Below are 23,098 nucleotides of genomic sequence, written 5' to 3'. Positions count from 1 at the left end.
CGAGACAGGAAGTTCACATAAGCACTTCTGCTGCAACTTGCAGAATGATGGACCATTGCCAGAAAAAGCCATCTGGGGATGGTTTGAGTTGTGAGTTGAATTAATCGCTTTTTTCATGAAACAGCATTTTTCCCTGGAAAGAACGACTGAGCGGCAAACTAGCATTACATGAGTTTGGTTAATTGGCAGACATTTTCACAAAAATTGGAAAAAGTGAGCTTGTTCCTTCAAGGAAAGTCACTGACAGCTTTGTTTGTGTTGCCAAATTCAGCATCTAGTGAGAGTAAACTTTTAGAAAGCTGTCTGCCACCATGAGCTATGCAGCTTTCTGATTTGCAAAGGCTTTGTGATGAAATTGGGAATGACGTTATGAAAGTGATTTTTAAGATACATATTGTTTATGAATGTGTTATTACTGTCACATACCACATAAAGACATTTCTTTCAACAGCAAACCTCATACACAGCAGTGAGGCGTGACTTAGCTTGTTTGTGGTTCTGCTGGTGGAAGCAAACCTACTGTGCTGCCAGTCGTGTAAAAGTCAAAGCACAAAGTACAGTCCATGGTACTTGATAAGGATACTAAACGACTATGTTAGTGGTTGCTGTATTTAAAAATACTACACTATAGTTTTATCATTATTTTGGAGTATACTCCTTCTACGTAACAACAACAACAACAAAAACGTTAAGTGTTAATCAGCCTCAGGAAGGTCCTTCAGGAAGTATTCTAGAAGGCATTACTGGCATAGGAGATAACAGCTCCATGCTTGTTATTGCCCCTGCAGACCTTTCATTGGGTTAAAATGTAGAGGTGGAAGACAGTGACATTAATGATCCTGCCCCTGTGCAGGCCTAGGCTAATGTGTGTTTGTGTGTTAGTTTTTAACAAAAAGTTGAAAAAGTAAAAACATATATAAAAAATAAAAGTAAAATTAAGCTTACAGAATAAGAAATTAAAAAAGAAACTATTTTTATACAACTGTACAATGTGTTTGTGTTTTAAGCTAAGTGCTATAATGAAAGCTATTATAACCTGGAAACAATATAGCTGAATGTTTCTGCTAGATGCAGCTGTAAAGGTTATGCAATTACACTTTTCCTTGGTAAAAAATATAAGTGGAAAATTTAGAGTGTATACATTTCTATAATAATTTCACTTTATTTACTGTAACTGAATGAGTTTAAGATCGTTGTGCAGTTTAATGAGTATGACCTTTATTTATCTTCCCACTTTGAATGTTTTCTGACATGCATCCCTCCCTCTCATGCATTTGAAAAAGAATAATTGGACACCAGACTAAGGAAGAACTTGATGGCAGGGAGATTATTCAACAAGGCTTAAGTTTTGATGCCCCAGATTCGTCCATCTTTCAGCCTATCCTTTCCAATTCTGACTATCATTCTTAAGCAGTTTTATTGGCTACATTGTTACATCTTTAAAAAATAGAATTGGAGGAAATGATTGAAAATGGAGGAATCACACTTGCCTAATATCCTTCTGATATTTTACCTCAGCATGACACCACATACTGTCATTGCAGTGAACATCTTACTTGCTAATCCCAATTCTGGAAGTAGCTTTCTGCACAAACCTGCAGGACATAACTGAAGTCATGCCTGCTTCTTTAATGTTATATGACATACGGCTTAGGTGGTTTTTCTTGTCCCATTAAATGCCGTTATCGTCTAAGAAAGAGAGCTTTTGCATACTGAATATCATAGTATCTGGGAATATAAAAAGTTTGGGCATAGAATATATGGACCCGTGAAGAATTTTTCTTCAGGGAGCAATTGATTTGTGGGTACATGTCTGAATTCAATAGGAAAGAAATGAGACTCAAGAGTGTTGTTGTCTTTTTTCCTTAGTCGACTTTTGCCTCTGAGTGGCAAAAATAAGGGGTGACACAACTGAGGTTGGCAATACTTCCTCAGACCCAAAGAAAGGAGTAGAAATCATAGATTTTTAAAATAAAACATCCATGAACTTTGCAAGGGTAATAATTGCTCATAACCCCAACCCTTTTATACTCACGAAATAAAATGTTAAGCTTGGCAGGGAGCGGTGGCTCAGGCCTGTAATCCCAGCACTTTGGGAGGCCAGGCAGGTGGATCATTTGAGTCAGGAGTTTGAGACCAGTCTGGCCAACAGACTATCTACTAAAAATACAAAAAAATTAGCCGAGTGTGGTGGTGCACGCCTGCAATCCCAGCTACTTGGGAGGCTGAGGCAGGATAATTGCTTGAACTGGGGAGGTAGAGGCTGCAGCGAGTGGAGATCGTGGCACTGTACTCCAGCCTAAGGAACAGGGTGAGACTCTGTCTCAAAAAAAAAAAAAAAAAAAAGTAATTAAGCTTGTGTGGATACATTTCTTGTAGAAGGTACTAAGTTTTTATCAATAGGGAACTTAAAAGGAGGCAGCCAAAATGGAAGAAAGAAGAATTGCATATGGGGGGGTAAATGTAAAATTCACATTTCTATTTTTCTTAACTTTCAAGTATGTTGTGAAGCCTAAAGAATATGAAAGATGTAAAATTTTGGATAAACAAAAATAATTATTTATGTAGGTTATTATTCCTAGTATTATATTACTTCTCATATGTATATTCATTCATGTAAGAAGACTCTTTCATTTAAACTTTCATATATATATATATACAGTTAAGAAATAAGTCATTATATATAGCTAATGTAAAAAGTTTTCAGTAAGATCCTACACTTTATCTGGAACTATAAATATAAACATGAAAAAGGTTGCTAACTTTAATCTGTAATTGAATATAATAAACATTATAATTTTTTTTCCCAAAAGCCTGAATATATTTACTCATTGTGCTAGAGCAACCAGTCAAAGCAAAACATCCAGGGACTCCTACTGGGATATGATTGAAAGCAAGAGGGAAAATGTTATCTTGGGTGTGAAAACCAGTTGTTGGAGATTGGAAGAAGCTTTATAATATTTCTAGTGAGCCAAAGTCAGATAGCAAAGATGATTAGGGGAATTTCAATATGTCAGTGTATTTCTCATCATTCATTACCATAAAATCTAGAGTGGATTGCATATATACCAGGAATGAATAATAAATAATGTTCATAGCAGTGAAACATTTTAGTAAATTGTATTTGACTTTCTTTTTGGAATCAGGATTAGTAATTTGTTTGAAGTTAGATTATTTGCTTTAAGATTATTAGTAATTAGGATTATATGTATGTTTAAAAAATTACAGCAACTGTATTGAATCTCATGCTTTTAAGTGAGAACTCAGAACTTGGGAAAAAACCTCTAAATTTTGTAAATAAATTTATTTATTTTAACATATTTTTCTTACCCATTGCTTATAATTTAGCTAAGGCCTAGATCATTGTATGTTAAAGAATAATTTTTAAAAATGGTTTAAGAGTTAACATTTCACTTTTAAAATGTTTAAGACAACCTGAACATAGATAGTATTTTAAGTAAGGGCTTCAGAACAGTTGTAATTTAAATGGAGAAAAAAAGAATTTTATTACTAGATTATGAGCTGATTTTTTTTGTATCCCTGACTATCATACAAGAAGAACAAAACAGACAAAATGAAGTATATATTGGATTACTGTCAATATACCTCATATTTTTTCCATTTATGCTGAAAAATTTTAGGCATTAAGAGGTTGGTTTGTCTAGCCATATTAAGCTGCTGAAGAAGGGGATGTTGAAACTAACTAGGCTGGCTCACAAAAGATGAGATGGGATTTTAGGAACCAAAAACAAGTCCCTGTGACCTAGATGCCCAGGTTGTTCCTCTAGGGGAGATGACAAATAAGAGACATTGTGATGGACTTTGCTGTCTAAACTGGAAAACCTAATCACTAAGACATACTAGACTTTCTTCCAGCTTCATCTACCAAGAGCAATAATTACAAATTTGGATTTTAAATAATTACTTGTGACATCACAATAATAATAGAAATTTAATAATTACTTTAATTAGCCTTTGCTATTGTGGACATTAACAGTTGACTACACATTATGTATATGCACACACACATATATATATACATAATATGTATAATATGTATTTATATACATATATACTTTGGCCATATTCTTGATTATTAGGGTAAATATTTCTATTTACACTCTTAACAAATCCAAGATCAGAATCTGTGGGACAAACATCTCATATTTACATTTCATTGCTAAATGCTTTCATTAACAGATCTTTACCTTCAAAGCAGCATATTTTGCCCACTGCTTTCCAAATAATTGTAAATTTTTATATACTTTTCTCCCATTAGACCAATCAACTAATTTAGATTTTTTCACTCACATTTTTCTCATATATAATATTTCATTGTATTCTTGCTAGATAATCACATTAGGCTATGTGATTATAGTCTAGTTTGTGTATAGTCTAATCCATACTTTTTTGAAGTATCAATTTCTCAATAGACTTTGACCTGGAAAAACTGACCTAAGGCTAATTTTTAAATGCTTCCTGGACTTACTTGCTATTATTTTATGCTTGTTGCCCTCAGCATAGTGTTTAAATTGCTAATTCTCTAATCAAAACACAAACCAAAATGACACCATAATTTTAATTACCTTAAGATAGCATTTCCCTTGGTCTTTGATCTAACCCAGTACATTCACAGGCAAAACATTGGTCAGGACAGCCACCTTCCATCTCATGAAAATGTCGTATGATTTCTACATTATAGTTTTTTTAACTTTCTTATTCTCTTTACTTGCCAAAACATATATTCTTTTTACTAAATTTCACCCATATCGTTATTGTAGTTTAATTCTTCTCCTCATCCCCTCGAAACCTTTGCCTGATTAGTCTGATCTTGTTTATTTTCCTGCCTTACCTGCTGGAACATGTACAGTTTCTCTAATTTAATTTAGTGCAGACCTATTTTATTTATAATATAATTGATTTCAAAAATCATTATTACAATACATATTTTTTACTTTGAGAAAGCCAATGTAAAATAAAATTGGGTTAAGGAAAAAAAATTAAGCCAACAGACCGATAGTAATGATCAATTATTCATTACTTGTAATCTGTAACTTGGAGAGTTCTTTAAGTGTGGTATCCATAATATATACTATCGTGGGGCTTCCAGTTTCAGCTTCAACTCTGAAGACTTTAAAGTCATTACTACCAGACTAAAAGAGCAAAACATTAAATGAAGTTGATAATCAATGACTTCTTTAGAGCCAGAGTATTGAGGCCCAAAGGTAAACACCCCCTTGAAAACTAGTGAAACAGGTAAATCCAGAGGCTCAGGGGCAAGACCTTATCTGGAGGGCAAGTCACTACAGCCATAAGCTGGTGCGATCACTTAAACTGTAATTTTAATGAGTTGCTGGATGCTGGGTGTGAACTAGCTGGAGAGGGAGGGAACATTAGGGGCAGTAGTCTTTATTTAATTTAATTTATTTAATTATTTATTTTTGAGCAAAAGTCTCACTCTTTCACCCAGGCTGCAGTGCAATGGCACGATCTCGGCTCACTGCAACATCCACCTCCCGGGTTCAAGCAATTCTCCTGCCTCAGCCTCCCAAGTAGCTGGGATTACAGGCACATGCTGCCACGCTCGGCTAATTTTTGTAATTTTAAGTAGAGGTGGGGTTTCACCTTGTTGGCCAGGCTTTCACCACGTCAAAATCCTGACGTGGTGATCCACCCGCCTCGGCCTCCCAAAATGCTGAGATTACAGGCATGAGCTACCACGCCCAGCTGTGGGCAGTAGTCTTAATGTTCTCCCACAGTTGAGCATTTTGCCTTTTGGAAACCCACTAGTTTCTCATGGTGAAGTTCCAAGAAAGATCCTCCCATGGCTCTGGCAGGAAGTGGGAAGAATAAACTTTATGCTATATGTCCAGAGTATTCTCCACACCAAAAACTTCATCTCCAGGACAAAGCTTTTACCAGAGCCATATCCCATGTGGGGGAGGGAATTTTCCCGAGCGATCCCACTAGGCTTCCTGTCTCATTTAAGAGTCAGATAAGGCAAGAAGAACTTGAGAATGCCACAGAGCAGGGACACACACTGTGAAAACACAGATTTAATAGTAAAATTATAGGATGCCCTCCATTCCTTACCACCACAATACAGCTGATACTACAGCTGAAATTACCACTGAAAAAGCTACATTATACCCATTATACCTGATACAGACTCTGTTTAAGGATTTCATAGAGAAGCCCATAGACAACAAGGGAGAGAAAACTAAGGACACAGGAGACTTGAAGCCTCTGGCACCTACAGGTACAGCAATATTAAATACAGCCCAACTCCTAGACAGATTTACGTAAGTCCTCTCACTAAAGGCCAATTTACCTCAGCTACTTTTGCCAAAAATTCATTCTCTGGTTTAAACAAAAAATACAAGGCATACTAAAAGTCAAGAAAAATCATAGTTTGAAGAGAAAAGGCAAACATCAGAACTAGACTCAGGGATAATACCGGTTTTCAATGATTACACCAGGAATTCATATTTAACATATTAATTTGTATTAATTATACATTACATTATAAAATTTAATTATTGTGTAAGTTAATATGTTAGTAGGGAAAAACTAAGATGACATGCAGGAACAGAGGAGTAATGTATGCAGAGAAGTAGAAACTCTAAGAAAGAATCAAAAGAAAATGCTAGAAATGAAAAAGAAACTGGAACAGAAATAAGATATGATTTTGATGAGCTCATCAGTAGGATGGACACAGTCAAGGAGAGACACAGTGAAATTAGATGGTAGTTCAATTGACTTCCCAAACTGAAATGCAAAAAAAAAAAAAAAGTAATTTGAAAGTTCAGAATAGAACGCCCATGAACTTTGGGACTACTATAAAGTGTTACACACACGTAATTGGAACAGCTGAATGAAGATAAAGAACTGAGCAAAAGAAATATTTAACATTATAATGGCCAAAAGCATTATAAAATTAATGACAAACACCAAACTGTAGATTCGAGAAGCTTAGAGAACACCAACTAGATTAATTTTTATAAATCTACAACTAAGCACATCATATTCAAACTAAAAAAAAAAACAGTAAAAGGAGAAACTCTTGAAAGTAGCTAGAAAGTAGTAAGAAAGCACCTTACTCAATAGGAGCAAGGATAAGAATTATAGTGGGCTCGTCAGAAATTATTAAATAGTGGAGTGAAGAAAAAAAATCCCATCAATCTATAATTTGATATCCAGAAAAATTATGGTTTAAATGGGAAAGAGAAATAAAACTTTGTCAGGCAAACAAAATCTGAGAGATTTCTTTGCCAACAGATGTGCCCTGCAAAAAAAAAGCTAAAATAAAGTTCTCTAGAAAAAAGAATATGTGTCGGAAACTTCAATTTACATAACAAAAGGAAGAGTTTTGGAGAAGGAATAAAGATAAAATATTTTATTTTTCTTATTTATAATAGGTCTGTATTAGTCTGTTTTCATGCTGCTGATAAAGACCTAGCTGAAACTGGGCAATTTACAAAAGAAAGAGGTTTATTGGACTTAGAGTTCCCTGTGGCTGGGGAGGACTCACAATCATGGCAGAAGGTGAAATGCATATATCGCATGGCAGCAGACAAGACAAGAGAGGTTGTGAAGGGAAACTCCCATTTTTAGAACCATCATATCTTGTGAGACTTATTCACTATCACAAGAACAGCACAGGAAAGACTTGCCCCCATGATTCAATTACCTCCCACTGGGTCCCTCCCACAACATGTAGGAATTCAAGATGAGATTTGGGTGGGGGCACAGCCAAACCATATCATTCCGCCCTGGCCCCTCCTAAATCTCATGTCCTCACATTTCAGAACCAATCATGCCTTCCCAACAGTCCCCCAGAATCTTAACTCATTTCTTAACTCAAAAGTCCATAGTCCAAAGTCTCATTCAAGACAAGGCAAGTCCCTTCTGCCTATGAGCCTTCTAGTGAAAAAGGGATCAGTTCTCCAAGATGATATAGTACTATGTGTGTATGGACCTAACAATAAATAGAGCATCAAAGTACACACAGCAAAATTGATAGAACTACAGGGACAACAAACACATTCACTGTTACAAAAGCAGAGAGAACATTTTCTGAAATTCTGAGGCCATTGTTGGCCTAATACCAAAACTATTTTTTAAAGTTACTAGGTAGAAAATAAATCTCTCGTGAACATAGAAGCCAAAATACTCCAAAACTATAAGCAGTAGAATCTCATATACAATATATTTGAAGCCATGCCTTCAGAAGTTGCCTTTGAAACAATCTCATTTTTTTGAACCTGAGGAATCGTCACTCATGAAGTCATTGTAAACATCTTCTTAAGTGATGATTAATTATATGTGTTAATGTGGCTAGGCTATGGTGTGCAGATGTTTGATAAAACACCATACTGGATGCTGCTGTGAAGGTATTTTTAATATCTGATTAAAACTAAAGTCAGTAGACCTTGATTAAAGCAGATTACCCTCCACAATGTGGGTGTACCCCCATGCAATCAGTGAAAGACTTAACACAAAAATACTGAAGTCCCCTGAGGTCTTCTGAGAAGCAAGGAATTCTGCTTCCAGACTACCTTCAGACTCAGCACCCAACATCAGCTTTTCCCTGGGCCTCCAACCTGCTGGCCTGCCCTGTAAATTTCACATTTGTCAGTCTCCACAATCACGTGAGTGAATTCCTTAAAATAAATCTCTATTTGTATATCTGGTTATCTATCTATCTATCTAATCTCTACATATATCATTAAACATCCAACTAAAACAAAAGAAAATATTTTAGGTAATTTATTTTGCTTCCTAAGCAAGGTAAGCACTACGTCTTCTTTTTTTCCTTTTGACTTTTATTTTAAGTCCTAGGGTACATGTGCAGGATTCATAAGTTTGTTACATAGGTAAACGTGTGCCATGGAGGTTTGCTGCACAGATCAACCCATCACCTTGGTATTAAGCTGGACATCCATTACCTATTCTTCCTGATGCTCCCCCTCCGCGACTCCAGGGCCCAGTGTGTGTTGTTCCACCTGATGTGTCCATGTGCTCTCATCATTCAGCTCCCACTTAAAAGTGAGAACATGCGGTGTTTGGCCTTTTATTCCTGCATTAGTTTGTGGAGAATGACAGCTTCCAGCTCCATTCATGTCCCTGCAAAGGACATGATCTTGTTCCTTTTTATGGCTGCATAGTATTCCATGGTGTATATGTACTACATTTTCTTTATCCAGTCTATCATTGATGGGCATTTGGGTTGGTTCCATGTCTTTGCTATTGTAAACAGTGCTGCAATAAATATAAGTGTGCATGTGTCTTTTTAGTAGAATGATTTATATTCCTTTGGGTATATACCCAGTAATGGGATTGCTGGGTCAAATGGTATTTCTAGTTCTAGATCCTAGAGGAATTGCCACACTGTCTTCTACAATTGTTGAACTAAATTATATTCCCACCAAAAGTGTAAAAGTGTTCCTATTTCTCCACATCCTCACCAGCATTTAGTTTCTTGACATTTTAATAATCACCATTCTGACTGGCATGAGATGGTATCTCATTGCGGTTTTGATTTGCATTTATCTAACGACCAGTGATGTTGAGCTTTTTTTCATGTTTGTTGGCTGCATAAATGTATTGTTTTGAAAAGTGTCTGTTCATGTCCTTTGACTGCTTTTTGATGTTTTTTTTGTTTTTTCCTTGTAAATTTGTTTAAGTTCCTTGTAGATTCTGGATAATAGAATCTACAATCTTGGAAAGATCTTCTCCCACTCTGTAGGTTGCCTGTACACTCTGATAATAGTTTCTTTTGCTGTGCAGAAGCTCCTTAGTTTAATGAAATCCCATTTGTCCATTTTGGCTTTTGTTGCCATTGCTTTTGGCATTTTCATCATGAAGTCTTTGCCCATGCCTATGTCCTGAATGATATAGCCTAGGTTTTATTCCAGGGTTTGTAGGTTTTGGGGTTTCACATTTAAGTCTTTAATCCATCTTGAGGTAATTTTTGCATAAGGTGTAAGGAAGGACTTCAGTTTCAGTTTTCTGCATATGGTTAGCCAGTTTTCCTGGCACCATTTATTAAATAGAAAATCCTTTCCCTGTTGCTAGTTTTTGTCCGGTTTGTCGAGGATCAGATGGTTATAGATATGTGGTGTTATTTCTGAGGTCTCTATTCTGTTTCATTGGTCTATATGTCTGTTTTGGTATCAGTATCATGCTGTTTTGGTTACTGTAGCCTTGTAGTATAGTTTGAAGTCAGGTAGTGTAATGACTCCAGCTTTGTTCTTTTGGCTTAGGATTGTTTGCCTATATGAGCCCTGTTTTCGTTTCATATGAAATTTAAAGTAGTTTTTCCTAATTCTTTGAAAAATGTCAATGGTAGTTTGATGGGAATAGAACTTTGGGCAGTATGACCATTTTCAGGGTATTGATTCTTCCTATCCATGAGCATGGATTTTTTTTTCCATTTGTTTGTGTCCTCTCTTATTTCATTGAGCAGTGGTTTGTAGTTCTCCTTGAAGAGGTCCTTCATATTCCTTGTAATTTGTATTCCTAGGTATTTTATTCTCTTTGTAGCAATTGTGAATGGGAGTTCATTCATGATTTGGCTTTCTGCTTGTTTATTATTAGGGTATAGAAATGCTTGGGGTTTTTGCACATTGATTTTGTATCCTGAGGCTTTGCCTAAGTTGCTTATCAGCTTAAGATATTTTGGGGCTGAGATAATGGGGTTTTCTAAATGTAGAATCATATTGGTTTTTCCTTTCCATATTTAGTGCTTCCTTCAGGAGCTTTTGCAAGGCAGGCCTGGTGGTGATGAAATCCCTCAGCATTTACTTGTCTAGAAAGGATTTTATTTCTCCTTGTTTATGAAACTTAGTTTGGCTGGATATGAAATTCAGGGTTGAAAATTCTTTTCTTTAAGAATGTTGAATATTGGCTCTCACTCCCTTCTGGTTTGTTGGGTATCTGTTGATATGTCTGCTGTTATTCTGATGGGCTTTCCTTTGTAGGTGACCTGGTCTTTCTTTCTGGCTGCCCTTAACATGTTTTGTTCTGTTTGTTTGTTTGTTTCTCATTTCGACCTAGGAGGATCTGATGATTATGAGTCTTGGGGTTGATCTTCTTGTGGAGTATCTTACTGGTGTTCTCTCTATTTCCTGAATTTGCATGTTGGCCTGTCTTGCTAGGTTGGGGAAGTTCTCCCGGATAATATCCTGAAGCGTGTTTTCCAATTTGGTTCCATTCTCCCCATCTCTTTCAGGTACTCCCATCAATTGTAGTTTCAGTCTTTTAAAATAGTCCTGTATTTTTCAGAAGCTTTGTTCATTCCTTTTCATTCTTTTTTCTCTAATCTTATCTGCATGCCACTTTTCAGCAAGATAGTCTTTAAACTCTGATATCCTTTCTTCTGCTTCATTGAGTTGGCTATTGATACTTTTGTATCCTTCACAAAGTTTTTATGTTGTGTTTTAGCTTGATTAGGTCGTTTATGTGCCTCTCTAAACTGGTTATTCTAGTTAGCCACTCCTGTAACCTTTTATCAAAATTCTTAGCCTCTTTGCATTGGGTTATAACATACTCCTTTAGCTCAGCAAAGAGCTAAAGAACCACCTTCTGAAGCCTACTTCTGTCCATTTGTCCATCTCATCCTCTGTCCAGTTCTGATCCCTTGATGGAGAGGCATTGCTAACATTCGGAGGAGAAGCAGCACTCTGGCCTTTTGGGTTTTCAGCATATTTTTGTTGATTCCTTCTCTTCTTCACGAGTTTGTCTAGTTTCAATCTTTGAGGCTACTAACATACTCCTTTAGCTCAGCAAATTTTGTTACTACCCACCTTTGACCCTTGGATGGGGTTTTTGTGGGAACTTTTTTTGTTGATGCTGTTGTTGTTGCTTTCTGTTTGTTTCTTTTTCTTGCAATGGTCAGGTCCCTCCTCTGTAGGGCTGCTGTGGTTTGCTAGGGGTTCGCTTCAGGCGCTATTCATTTGGTTCACTCCCACATCCAGAGATATCACTCAAGAAGACTGGAGAACAGCAAAGATGGGTGCCTGCTTCTTCCTCTGGGATCTCTGACCTTGAGGGGCATTGACCTGATGCCGGTAGGAATGCTCCCGTATAGAGTGTCTGATAACCCCTGTTGGAGGATCTCACCTAGTTTCGTGGCATGGGGGAGCAGGACATGTTTAACAAAGCACTTTGACTGTCCCTTGGTGGAGGGGGTGTGTTTCGCTGGGGGGAAACCCACTCGTTTTCCGGATTCTTCAGAACTAGCAGGAGGAAAGACTAAGTCTGCCGGCTCATGGAGACTGTGGCCACTCCTCCCCCTCGGGTTTCAGGCCCATAGAGATCAGAGTTCTGTCCCTGAGCCTCTGGCTGAAGTTGTCAGAGTTCCTGTAGGGAGGCCCCACCCAGTGAGGAGGGATGGATCAAGGTCAGGCCTGAAGAGGCATTCTGTCTAGAGTCTGATATAGCCAGTATGTTGGTCTGTGTGGGATACCTCCTTGGGACCAAGCCATGCAGCCTTCCCAGCTCCAGCAGTGGAAAAATGTGGCCTGGAGCTATAGAGATGGCTGCCAGCCTTCCCTTGCCCTGGGAGTTCACTGTGTTAGGTGACTATCCGTCCCAATGGGGCTGCTGCCCCTCCCTCAAGGAGCTCAAATGGCTTAGACAACAGACAGCCACAGCTGTGGTGCTGGTCACCCTTCCCCCAAGATGTTCAGCAGGCTTAAGCAGATTCTAGCTTAGTGGCTGTTGAGAATCCGCTTGGCTCTGTGGTTGGGACCTTAGGCCCTGGAGGCATGGGCTCATGAGTGGGATCTTCCAATCCATGGGTTGCACAGTTCCATGCACGTTTCCCAGGCTGGGTAGCACACTCACTAACCATCTCACTTGGTTTGGGGGTGGGAGTTCCTCTGCCCCGTGTGGCTCTCAGGCTGCATGGCTTGGTCCCCAAGAGGTATCCCCCACAGCCCAACACACTGGTTGTGTCAGACTATAGACAGAATGCCTCTTCAGGCCTGACCTTGACCCATCCCTCCTCACTGGGTGGGGCCTCCCTACAGGAACTCTGACAACTTCAGCCAGAGGCTCAGGGACAGAACTCTGATCTCTATGGGTCTGAAACCTTAGGGGGCCTGAAACTCTCAGGTGGCCTCTAGCACCACACTGCTCTTCCTTCCTCTCTGTGGATCACGCCAGCCGCATAGTCAGTTCTGATGACAGAACCTGGACACATCAGTTGCTGGTTCAGGTTTCAAATGCTGTTATGATTCTTTTTATGGGAGCCTCTGATCACCACTTCTTCTAGTTGGCCATCTTGGCCCTAAAACTTTCTTAATTAATAAAAAGAAAAGTTACTAAGCCAAATTTGGCCTGCACCAGAGGAACTTGAAGCCTCACCATGGCAACTATACACTGAGGAAGAGGAAATAACCAAACTTTTGAATATTAATCGAGAAAGATGCTAAATTATCGTTAATTCCTTGAGATCCAAAACAATACCGTAGTACAGTAGTCAGCATAGTGACCCATAGAGATCAGGTGATTAATGGAATTTTTGTCCCCAATTGATCTCAAAGTGGGTATAATATACTTCAACACATTCCATAGTTTCTTTCCAAGTTCTCAATTACGTGGTTGAAACAATATATTCAGCAAGTAGCAGAAACACACACTGGATCCCGGACATGTGGAACAAGGGCGATTTTGATAGTAAATGTAAGAGCATGCCATGAAAGGGCTCCTACCTAATTAAAGTGTAAGCCAAAAAAATATGGAATTTTAGAGATAAGTGTTATCACTGAGGCCCAGAAAGATGCAGCTGTGAAGGTTTCTACCACGTGACTTTTCAACCTGATTTCATGTCTTTGCTATTGTGAATAGTGCTGCAGTGAATATACTTGTGCATGTATCTTTATAATAGCATGATTTATATTCCACTGGGTATATACTCAGTAATGGTATTGATGGGTCAAATGGCATTTCTGCTTCTAGATCTTTGAGGAATCACCGCACTGTTTTCCACAATGGTTGAACTAATTAACACTCCCACTAATAGTGTAAAAGCATTCCTTTTTCTACACTGCCTCACCAGCATCTGTTGTTTCTTGACTTTTTAATAATCACCATTCTGACTGGCATGAGATGGTATCTCATTGTGCTTTGGATTTGCATTTCTCTAATGAGAATTAGTGCTGTTGAGCTGTTTTTCATATGTTTATTGGCCACATGAGTGTCTTCTTTTGAGAAGTGTCTGTTCATGTATTTTGCACACTTTTTAATGCTTTTTTGTTGTTTTTCTCTTGTAAATTTGTTTAATTTCCTTGTAGACTCTGGATATTAGACCTTTGTCAGATAAACAGATTGCAAAAATTTTCTCCCATTCTGTAGGTTGTCTATTAACTCTGATGATAGTTTCTTTTACTGGGTAAGCACTAAGTTTTACTGAAGATTTTACTTTTTATATGAACACATACTATAATCATTTTTAAGTTACTACTATAAATATTTCATTAAATAATTTATAATGTTGAGTGGAGTCTTTTAGTTCCAGCTCAAGGTCAAAATTCATGTTCATTTGGGAATCTCAACACCAAAAAAGTCAATGGCATGTAGGAGCTCAGTAATTAATAATTGTTGGAGGAATAAATAAAAGAATAAATATGATTTACATCAGCATATAAATATGTATGTTTACTGTAATCTTAAAATATAGCTCAATGATTTCCTTGCTTCAAAAATAGTATTGCATTCTATGTGTATAACGGGTTCAATACTGCTAGTTTTGAATCATTTCACTTGAGTTACAAAATCTGATTACCAAATTAGGAAAGAGAAAAAAATAACCTCTTTCTGAATAAATGGATCTCAAAAATTAATAGGTATTTGGAGCTATAAAGGATTTTAAAAATGATTTTGTCCAACCCTCTAATTTTACAGATAAATATTTGTATGGGTTAATTTAAAAATACTAAATTTTGCATGTAGGTCAAGGATTTGACTTAAGGTCTTGATTAAGAACGGATTTATTCTAAAAGATCGTAAGGGAGCCAAACACACACACAGTTCAGTTCACTCAAGAGAACCAGCTGATCACTAGAATTGGCAAAACTGGTAAGAATTCAAATCCAAGGATAATCCTATTAGAAATAAGAGATTATTTGAGAGTTACTAAAGTGAGACTCAAAAAAATTCCATTTATTTTCTGGTATAGCAGAGGAAAGGTATACTATTTTAAACAAGTAAACAAGCTGTTTACCTGTCTGGGTCTGTTCTATAATATGTAAAATTGCAGTAGAGAATTACAAGCATTTGTTTGATTGATAATGTCACATGACTTTTCTAACCTATACAAAATTATAAAAATGTTTGATTCTATCACTTAGTACACTTACAAAGACATAAAATATGATGCTGTATCCCATAACTGTTTCTATTAAGGTTTTCTTTAGCTTATTGGTTAAAACTTCGCACAAATCCCAAAATATGTTCAAAGCAAGCGAAATGACCAAAACCATGTATTATTATATGCTACTATAATTTATTTTTGTCACTAACAAAAGCCTTGAAGTAAACAACACATGCCATTTAGAACTGTTGCCTGTGGTTTTATTAGAAATGCAATAAGGGAGTCTAACACAGTAGAATGGTTCCACTGTCTAATAACATAACGGGTCATAAAATGACTACATCGTGTGTTTTCTCACAGTAAACCTCATTACCTAGAAATTATTCAAAAACTGCTCTTTGGATTTTTTGTTTGTTTGTTTCATTTTATCTGCTGACAGCTTTTATTAATGAAAGAAACAGAAACAAAGCTCTCATGAAGAGAAGAGCCACTGGGACTTCCTAATACAACAAAGGTTATTATATTACTATTTTTTTTTCCTTTTTTCTTTCAACCTCTACTGTGAAAAATAAAGTGGGATGAAAACATTCATTTCCTTTAGAAGTACTTATGCAGTGCTGGGTTTTTTCCCCTATAATTTTAACAATTTTTGGTTGTTAGTGTTTTTGTTCTAATTTCATTGTTAGCAATGATTTGTTAGCACCTGTTGTCTCAAATTTATCAAAAGACATAATTTTGTTGAGATACACAGCATAAGACAGCCAAGGTTGTAGATGAAAATTTTTCATGTATCTCCTTCTCGCTATGTATTACCCTTTTATCATAAGATAAATGAAACATTGTGGAGGAAAAAGCATTAAACTAAATTACCATTCGAGATGGGCCATTCAAATATTGTCTCCATTTATTCCCTTATCTGGTAGAACAGTTGGCCAAGGTTGAGGGTGTGGAAGACAAGAAATGAAAATCAGAATTTTCTGGAAAATTTTGTTTAAAGTTCATACATTCTGACAATGTCTCTCTAGAGATGGCTAGAAGGCCAGGAGAGGTCATGCAAATCTTAATATTTCCTTTGTTTGACTTGCTTTTTATTTCATTCACCCAAAAGTAGTTCCAAAAACTTTCTTCCCTCTTTTTCCAAAATTCCCCATTGCAATATCCCTAACAGAGAATACATGAATTTTGCTGCACTGAAGACCCTCTTACTAGGAAAAATTTATATTTTTGGCTACATTTCTCTTTTTATATCTTTCATTTTCTTCCCTGGTTGATTACCTTGATGTTCTTAGAAAAGACCCAGAAAGCGCCTGGGCGTGGTGGCTCACACCTGTAGTCCAAGCACTTTAGAAGTCCAAGGCAGGTGCATAACAAGGTCAGGAGATCGAGACTAGCCTGGTCAATATGGTGAAACCCCGTCTCTACTAAAAATACAAAAATTAGCCAGGCATGGTGGCAGGTGCATCTAGTCCCAGCTACTCGTGAGACTGAGGCAGGAGAATCGCTTGAACCAGGGAGGCGGAGGTTGCAGTGAGCCAAGATCACACCACTGCACTACAGCCTGGGTGACAGAGTCAGACTGTGTAAACAAACAAACAAACAAACAAAAAACACCCAGAAAGCAACAGCAGCAGAGAATAGGCAAGACCTACTAGTTAAGAGGGAGCAAATGAACTGAAACTGTGAGGACACTCAGCTAATACAACTGAAACTGTGAAGACACTCAGCTAATACATTTCAACTGATATTTCTTTGATTAGTTTTTAAAAATAAAATATAGTCATTTGAAGCTCAGAGTCAGTTTTGAATTTGTTGCCGTGCCATTTTCTATTTTCTGGTGACAGTAGCATGATTTGAGAGCTGCAGATTGACGGGAGCCAGCAAGTCAGCATTTAATGAATAAGAAAGGAAAAATTGAATGTTTCTCCAATTTGCTGAATACATCAAATATCATGGAAAGGGGCAGAGGTGAATCTGACAACATGATTAGGTTCTCCTGCACTTCTTAAGGAATACTTCAGGTTTCATTCTGTGTGTCGCTTACCAACCCACAAAATTCTAAGGAACAATTTGCCTGTTTTGTACTTGGTATTCATAATGGAACAAAATTTCCTTTGAACTTTCTATCACAGGCCAATCTTTTTCCATACTTCAGAAATCCTGTATTTAAATCAACCTCAACTACACACAAAAAAGAATAATTTAAAAATCTCTGAATCAAAATAAAACTAGAAAGAAACTTCTAAGACATGAAATGGAGAGGAAGTGAACAGATGATTCAAGTTAGACCATTTCCAGAGAGGTGGGCAGATACCAGAGCTTATAATAAGTTATTTCTTTAGAAAATTCATTGAGAATGCAGTACTTTATACAAAGTATACTTAAATTGCACATTTTAAGTTGATTACTAATGATATATTTTATATTTTTGAAAGCCAGATTTACTCTTTTACTCATTCTATACATGCACACACACATATACTACTAACCATAGTAATTAAAAAGTTACTGAATTTAGCAAATAAAAGGATTTTTTGCTCTAAGAGAATAATGATTGCCCTGGTTAGCTAGAGAAGTTTTGCATTCCTTACCTCACTACTGGAATAGCTACCTGTCATTTATCCCTACCTTCAGACTCTCTCTCATTCCCATGTACAAATCTATTCAATTATCGCTGGCTATTTTCCCTCTACATAGCAGACAGCAGGGGAAACTTCAAACGAGTTTTTAAAAGGAAAAGAGAAAAAAGCCTTTAAATGATTAAATATATATGTTTATATAGATACATATTTTTGTAATATTAAGCTTAAAGGTGGATGAATTTCAAAAGATAAAGGTGACTTTTTGAAAGGAAGAGAGGCTAAGATAGAAGAAAATACAATCAGGTTAAAACAAAGGAGCTTCCTAAACAGAACCTTACCTAAGATAAGATTTAGTTTCTCTTAGGTGATGAAAGACTTCTCAAAAGGATTAATCCTGAAAAATCACAAATCACCAAAAGAACAAAGAAAATTTGTGAAAAGGGGAGAGGAGGAAAAGCAACACCATGAAATACAGTTTTATGTGTATTTCCTGATTTGATTTCATTTAGTTATAAGTAGCAATATAAGGTCAAAGGCTTTCAATTCACTGTTTTCTCATTAAGAGTCCTTTTATTTATTTTAAGGTTGTCTGTTCTAGTAATCAGGTCCTGACTCTAACTACCCCCTGCTCCCATCCAAGCTATTAGAATGATCTGAAAATAAACTTGTCTCTCAGGTAATAAGAGCTTAAGAAACTCTAACTGCCTCTCTGAGGCATTACACTCAAAGGCTAATTTGGTGGAGAGTATAAGAGAGAAGATGGACACCAATATATTGAGTCTGTGGTTGGAACTACCAAGGGAAAAGGAGAGCTGGCTGGGTTTCTGGGGTTTGCTGAAAAGAAAAAAGAAGCAGCAAAGCAGATGTGGGCTTAAAAATAGTCCCAGGGCTTAATTATGGCAAAAGGATACAGGAATCCTTGACAGTCACCTTGAGGCATTTTTATGTCAGTGGAGTTTATATGTGTGCAATGTTTTGCTTCTTAAATTTTTGTATGAAAAATGCAGAAAATCACAGAAAGCATAGTTTAAAAAATCACATTATTTTCTTATGTAAAAACAAAGTAAAGCTGTTGCCACTTCTGAGCTTCCTTTCATTAACACATCCGATTTTTAACTATGTTTAAAAGTTTTCTATTTGTGAAAGATGCAAAAGGAAAATTAGAAAATAATACAGTGTATAATCACATCTCAAGAGTAAAATACTGAGGAATAAATTCATCCAAGATGGAACAAGACTTGCACACAGAAAACTCCATGATATTAGTGAAAAAAATTAAGAAAAAGCTGAATAAATGGAAGACATCTTGTGGTCATGGTTTCTAAGATTTAATATTATGAAGATGGCAATATTAGCCAAAGCTATTTACAGATTCAATATAATCCCTACCAAATGCTTAACATCCATCTTTGCAGAAATGGAAACATTGTTCCTACAATTTATATGAAATTTCAAGGAACTCTGGATAGCCAAAAATAACTTGAACAAGAACAACTTTGGAGGTGTATTGTCTGCTCTCATGCTGCTAATAAAGATATACCCAAGACTGGGTAATTTATAAAGGAAAGAAGTTTAATGGACTCACAGTTCCACATGGCTGGGGAGGCCTCACGATCATGGTGGAAGGCAAAAAAGGAGCAAAGTCACGTCTTACATGGTGGCAGGCAAGAGAGCGTGTGCAGGGGAACTCACCTTTGTAAAACCATCAGATATTGTGATACTTATTTACTATCATGAGAACAGCACAGGAAAGACAAGCCCCCATGATTCAATTACCTCCCACTGGGTCCCTTCCACAACACGTGGGAATTATGGGAGCTACAATTCAAAATGATACTTGAGTGGAGAAACAGAGCCAAACCATATCAGGAGGAAACACACTTCCTGGTTTACACCTTTCTACAAAGCTACAATACTCAAAACAGTGTGTTAATGTCACAAGCATAGGAGTGCAGATCAATGCAATAGAATATTAGAGTGCAGAAATAAACCTGTATGTCTGAGATTGATTGATTTTGATAGGGTGCCAAGGCCATTCAATAGAAAAAATATAGTCTCATCAACTAATGGTTCTGGAACAACTAAATAGTCACATGTGAAAGAATTAAATTGTGCTCTTATCTCACACTATATAGAAAGTATATCAAAGACACAGCACAAAAACGAAAACTATAAAACTCTTGATGAATACATGGTTTAAATCTTTATGAAATTAGATTGACAATGTATTTTTAATATCACATGAAAAGCAAAAGCAACAATTAAAAAAATAGATAACTTGGACTTTATCAAAATTAAAAATCTATATGCATCAAATAACATTATCAAGAATGTAAAAAGATGACCCTCAGAATGTGAAAAACATCTGTAAATTTTCTTATAAAGATATAGCATCCAGAATACATAGGTATATAATATATATACATATACACACATATAATATATATACACACATATATATGAGTTTATATATATAAAATCTTACAGGTCAACAACAGAAAGACAAACAAAAAAATCAAAAATTATAAAAGATTAAGAAAGGACTTGAGTATATACTTCTCCAGAGAAGACATGCAAATAATTAACAAGCACATGAAAAGATGTTCAACATCATTAGTAATTTGTGAAATGTCAATCAAAACCACAATGATATACCACTTCACTAGGTGGCTATGATTACTATTATTTTTAATATCAAGTGTTGGCAAGGATGTGCAGAAATTTGAACCCTCATAGGTTGCTGGAATGCAAAGTGAAAAGCAGTTTGGTAGTTCCTAATTACGTTATACATAGAATTTATATATAGCCCAGCAGTTTCAAACTTAGTTACATACTACAAGGAATTCAAAGCAGGTGTTCAAACAAAATTTGTACAAAAATCTCCATAGCACTTTATTCATAATACCCAAAGGCAGAAACAACTCAAATGTTCACAAAACTGACTAATGGGTAAACAAAATATCCGTATAATGGAATATTATTCAGACACGGAAAGATGCGACGTTCTGATGCATACTATGACATAAATAAACCTTGAAAACATTATGCTGTGTGAAAGAAGCCAGACACAATAAGCAACATATTATATGGCTCCATTTATGTGAAATATCCAAAATAGGTTCATTTATGGAGAAAAAAAAAAACAGATTAGTGGTTTCCAGATGTGAGAGTAGAGAATGGAGTGTGACTACTTAATGAGTGTAGGATTTGTTTTTGAGATGATGAAAATATTTTGGAAATAGATAATGGTGATGGTCACACAACATGTGATTGTACTAAATGCCACTGAATTGTGAGATAAATAAAATAGTAAATTTTATGATATGTATATTTATCAAAATAAAAATGCAAGTAAATTAATATTAAAATAACTTACACTTTATATGGCTTTATATTGTTAAAATGTTATGAAGTTTCTAAAGATCGATTCACATCTACCCATATCTATATGTACACAGTGTTCTGCCAATTTGCTTTTATTATCGAAAAATATCTCTTGAATGTCTTTCCAGGACTGTCTGTGTAGGTGGATCAGCTATATTGATTAATAATATTATTCATAGAAAATACTATTTTAATATATGAACATGTTGTATACTTTAAACCACTGAAGTCTCACATTGAAAACTGTGTGATGACAAGATGGTAGGACCAAGCTCCTTTCATGATCTTGCTGCTGCCTATCAGCCTTTTGTATGTGATAGAGAAAAACAATATGCCATTTAAGCTCCCATTACATCCTTGTTTTATCAATTACAGTCAAATCCAATTTTTGAAATGTGTTGATTCTTTTTATTTCACTACCATATTGCAATGAGTATCTTTACAAAGATCTCTGCACATTTGTGCCATTCTTTCTATGAGAGAGAATGATAGAAGTGGAACTACTAAATTACTTTCAACAAAGTTTGCACTGATTTATATTCCAGATAAATTGCATGTGTACCTATTTTACTCATACTTGCTGGCTGTAGATATTTTCCAGCCTTCAATAATTTTGTTCCCAATTAAATAAAAAAGAATTGTATAATGAATCTTATAATGTGTGTGTTTGGATTTCCTTAGTAGTTAGTAAACCTTAGCATAATATCCTGGTTTACTGTTGATTTACATTTCTTCGTAAATCACATGGTCATATTCCCTATCAGTTAGCTTTTGTGCAAAGCAATGTTTATCATCTTTCTGAGTGTGTGGTTCTCCGGAGGCTTACTGGGAATTAGGTGGTCTACTATGCCCTTATAGCACATGTCCAAAAGTTGGCATGATGTCAGCGGGGAATGATAACAGTGGCTCAGTCCAAATAGCTTTCATTTTCAAGCAGATTTTCCTGGCACTTTTGAAATAAATTGTCTCTGTTCCAAAAGCAGAAGAACTCACCAGAGAAGTCTAAAAGCCACTGCAAGGATTCTTGAGGCTTTTGCCTAGAATTTGCATTGCCTCTATGTCTTTTTTTGAGAAGTGTCTGTTCATGTCCTTTGCCCACTTTTAAATGGGGTGGTTTTCTGCCTGTTGGTTTGTTTAAGTTTGTTATAGACTCTGGATATTAGATCATCTTTGAATGTACAGTTTGCAAATATTTTCTCTTGTTCTGTGGGTTTTCTGTTTACTCTGTGGATAGTTTCTTTTGCTGGGCAGAAGCTCTTTAATTAAGTCCCACTTGTCAATTTTTGTTTTTGCTGCAATTGCTTTTAGGGACTCAGCCAAACCTTCTTTGCCAAGGCTAAAAGGGGAGGGAGGGAGGTGAACCTGGGTTGAAAAACTACCTATCCTGTACTATGCTCACTACCTGGGTGATGGGATCCATACCTCAAACCTCAGCATCATGCAATATACCCATATAACAAATTTGCAAATATCCCCCCTGTATCTAAAAGTTTAAATTAAAAAGAAGAAGAATTAGCAATGTATGACCCTGACGATATTCTATTGGTCAAAGCAAATCGCAAAGCCAGAAAAGATGTGAAAGTTAGGAAAATGCTCTCCACTTATATGACATGACTTGTAAAATTCCGTGGCCGTGTGTACAATCTATCACATGCTGTTTGTCCACATATCAATTAGATTGTTTGTCACATTCTTATTAACAGTCAGTCTTTGTATATAAGCAAAGCTAAATTCTTCATCTATTATTTACCCAGCAAACATTTTCTCTTATTTCTGTTTTCAACTTTATTTATGGTAACTCCTGTTTTGCAAGCAT

The sequence above is a fragment of the Homo sapiens genome, chromosome 8 (genome assembly GCF_000001405.40).
Source record: "Homo sapiens chromosome 8, GRCh38.p14 Primary Assembly".
NCBI classification, from domain to species: Eukaryota; Metazoa; Chordata; class Mammalia; order Primates; family Hominidae; genus Homo; species Homo sapiens.
The sequence above is the reverse complement of the archived record's forward strand: the minus strand, read 5'-3'. Positions refer to the sequence as shown.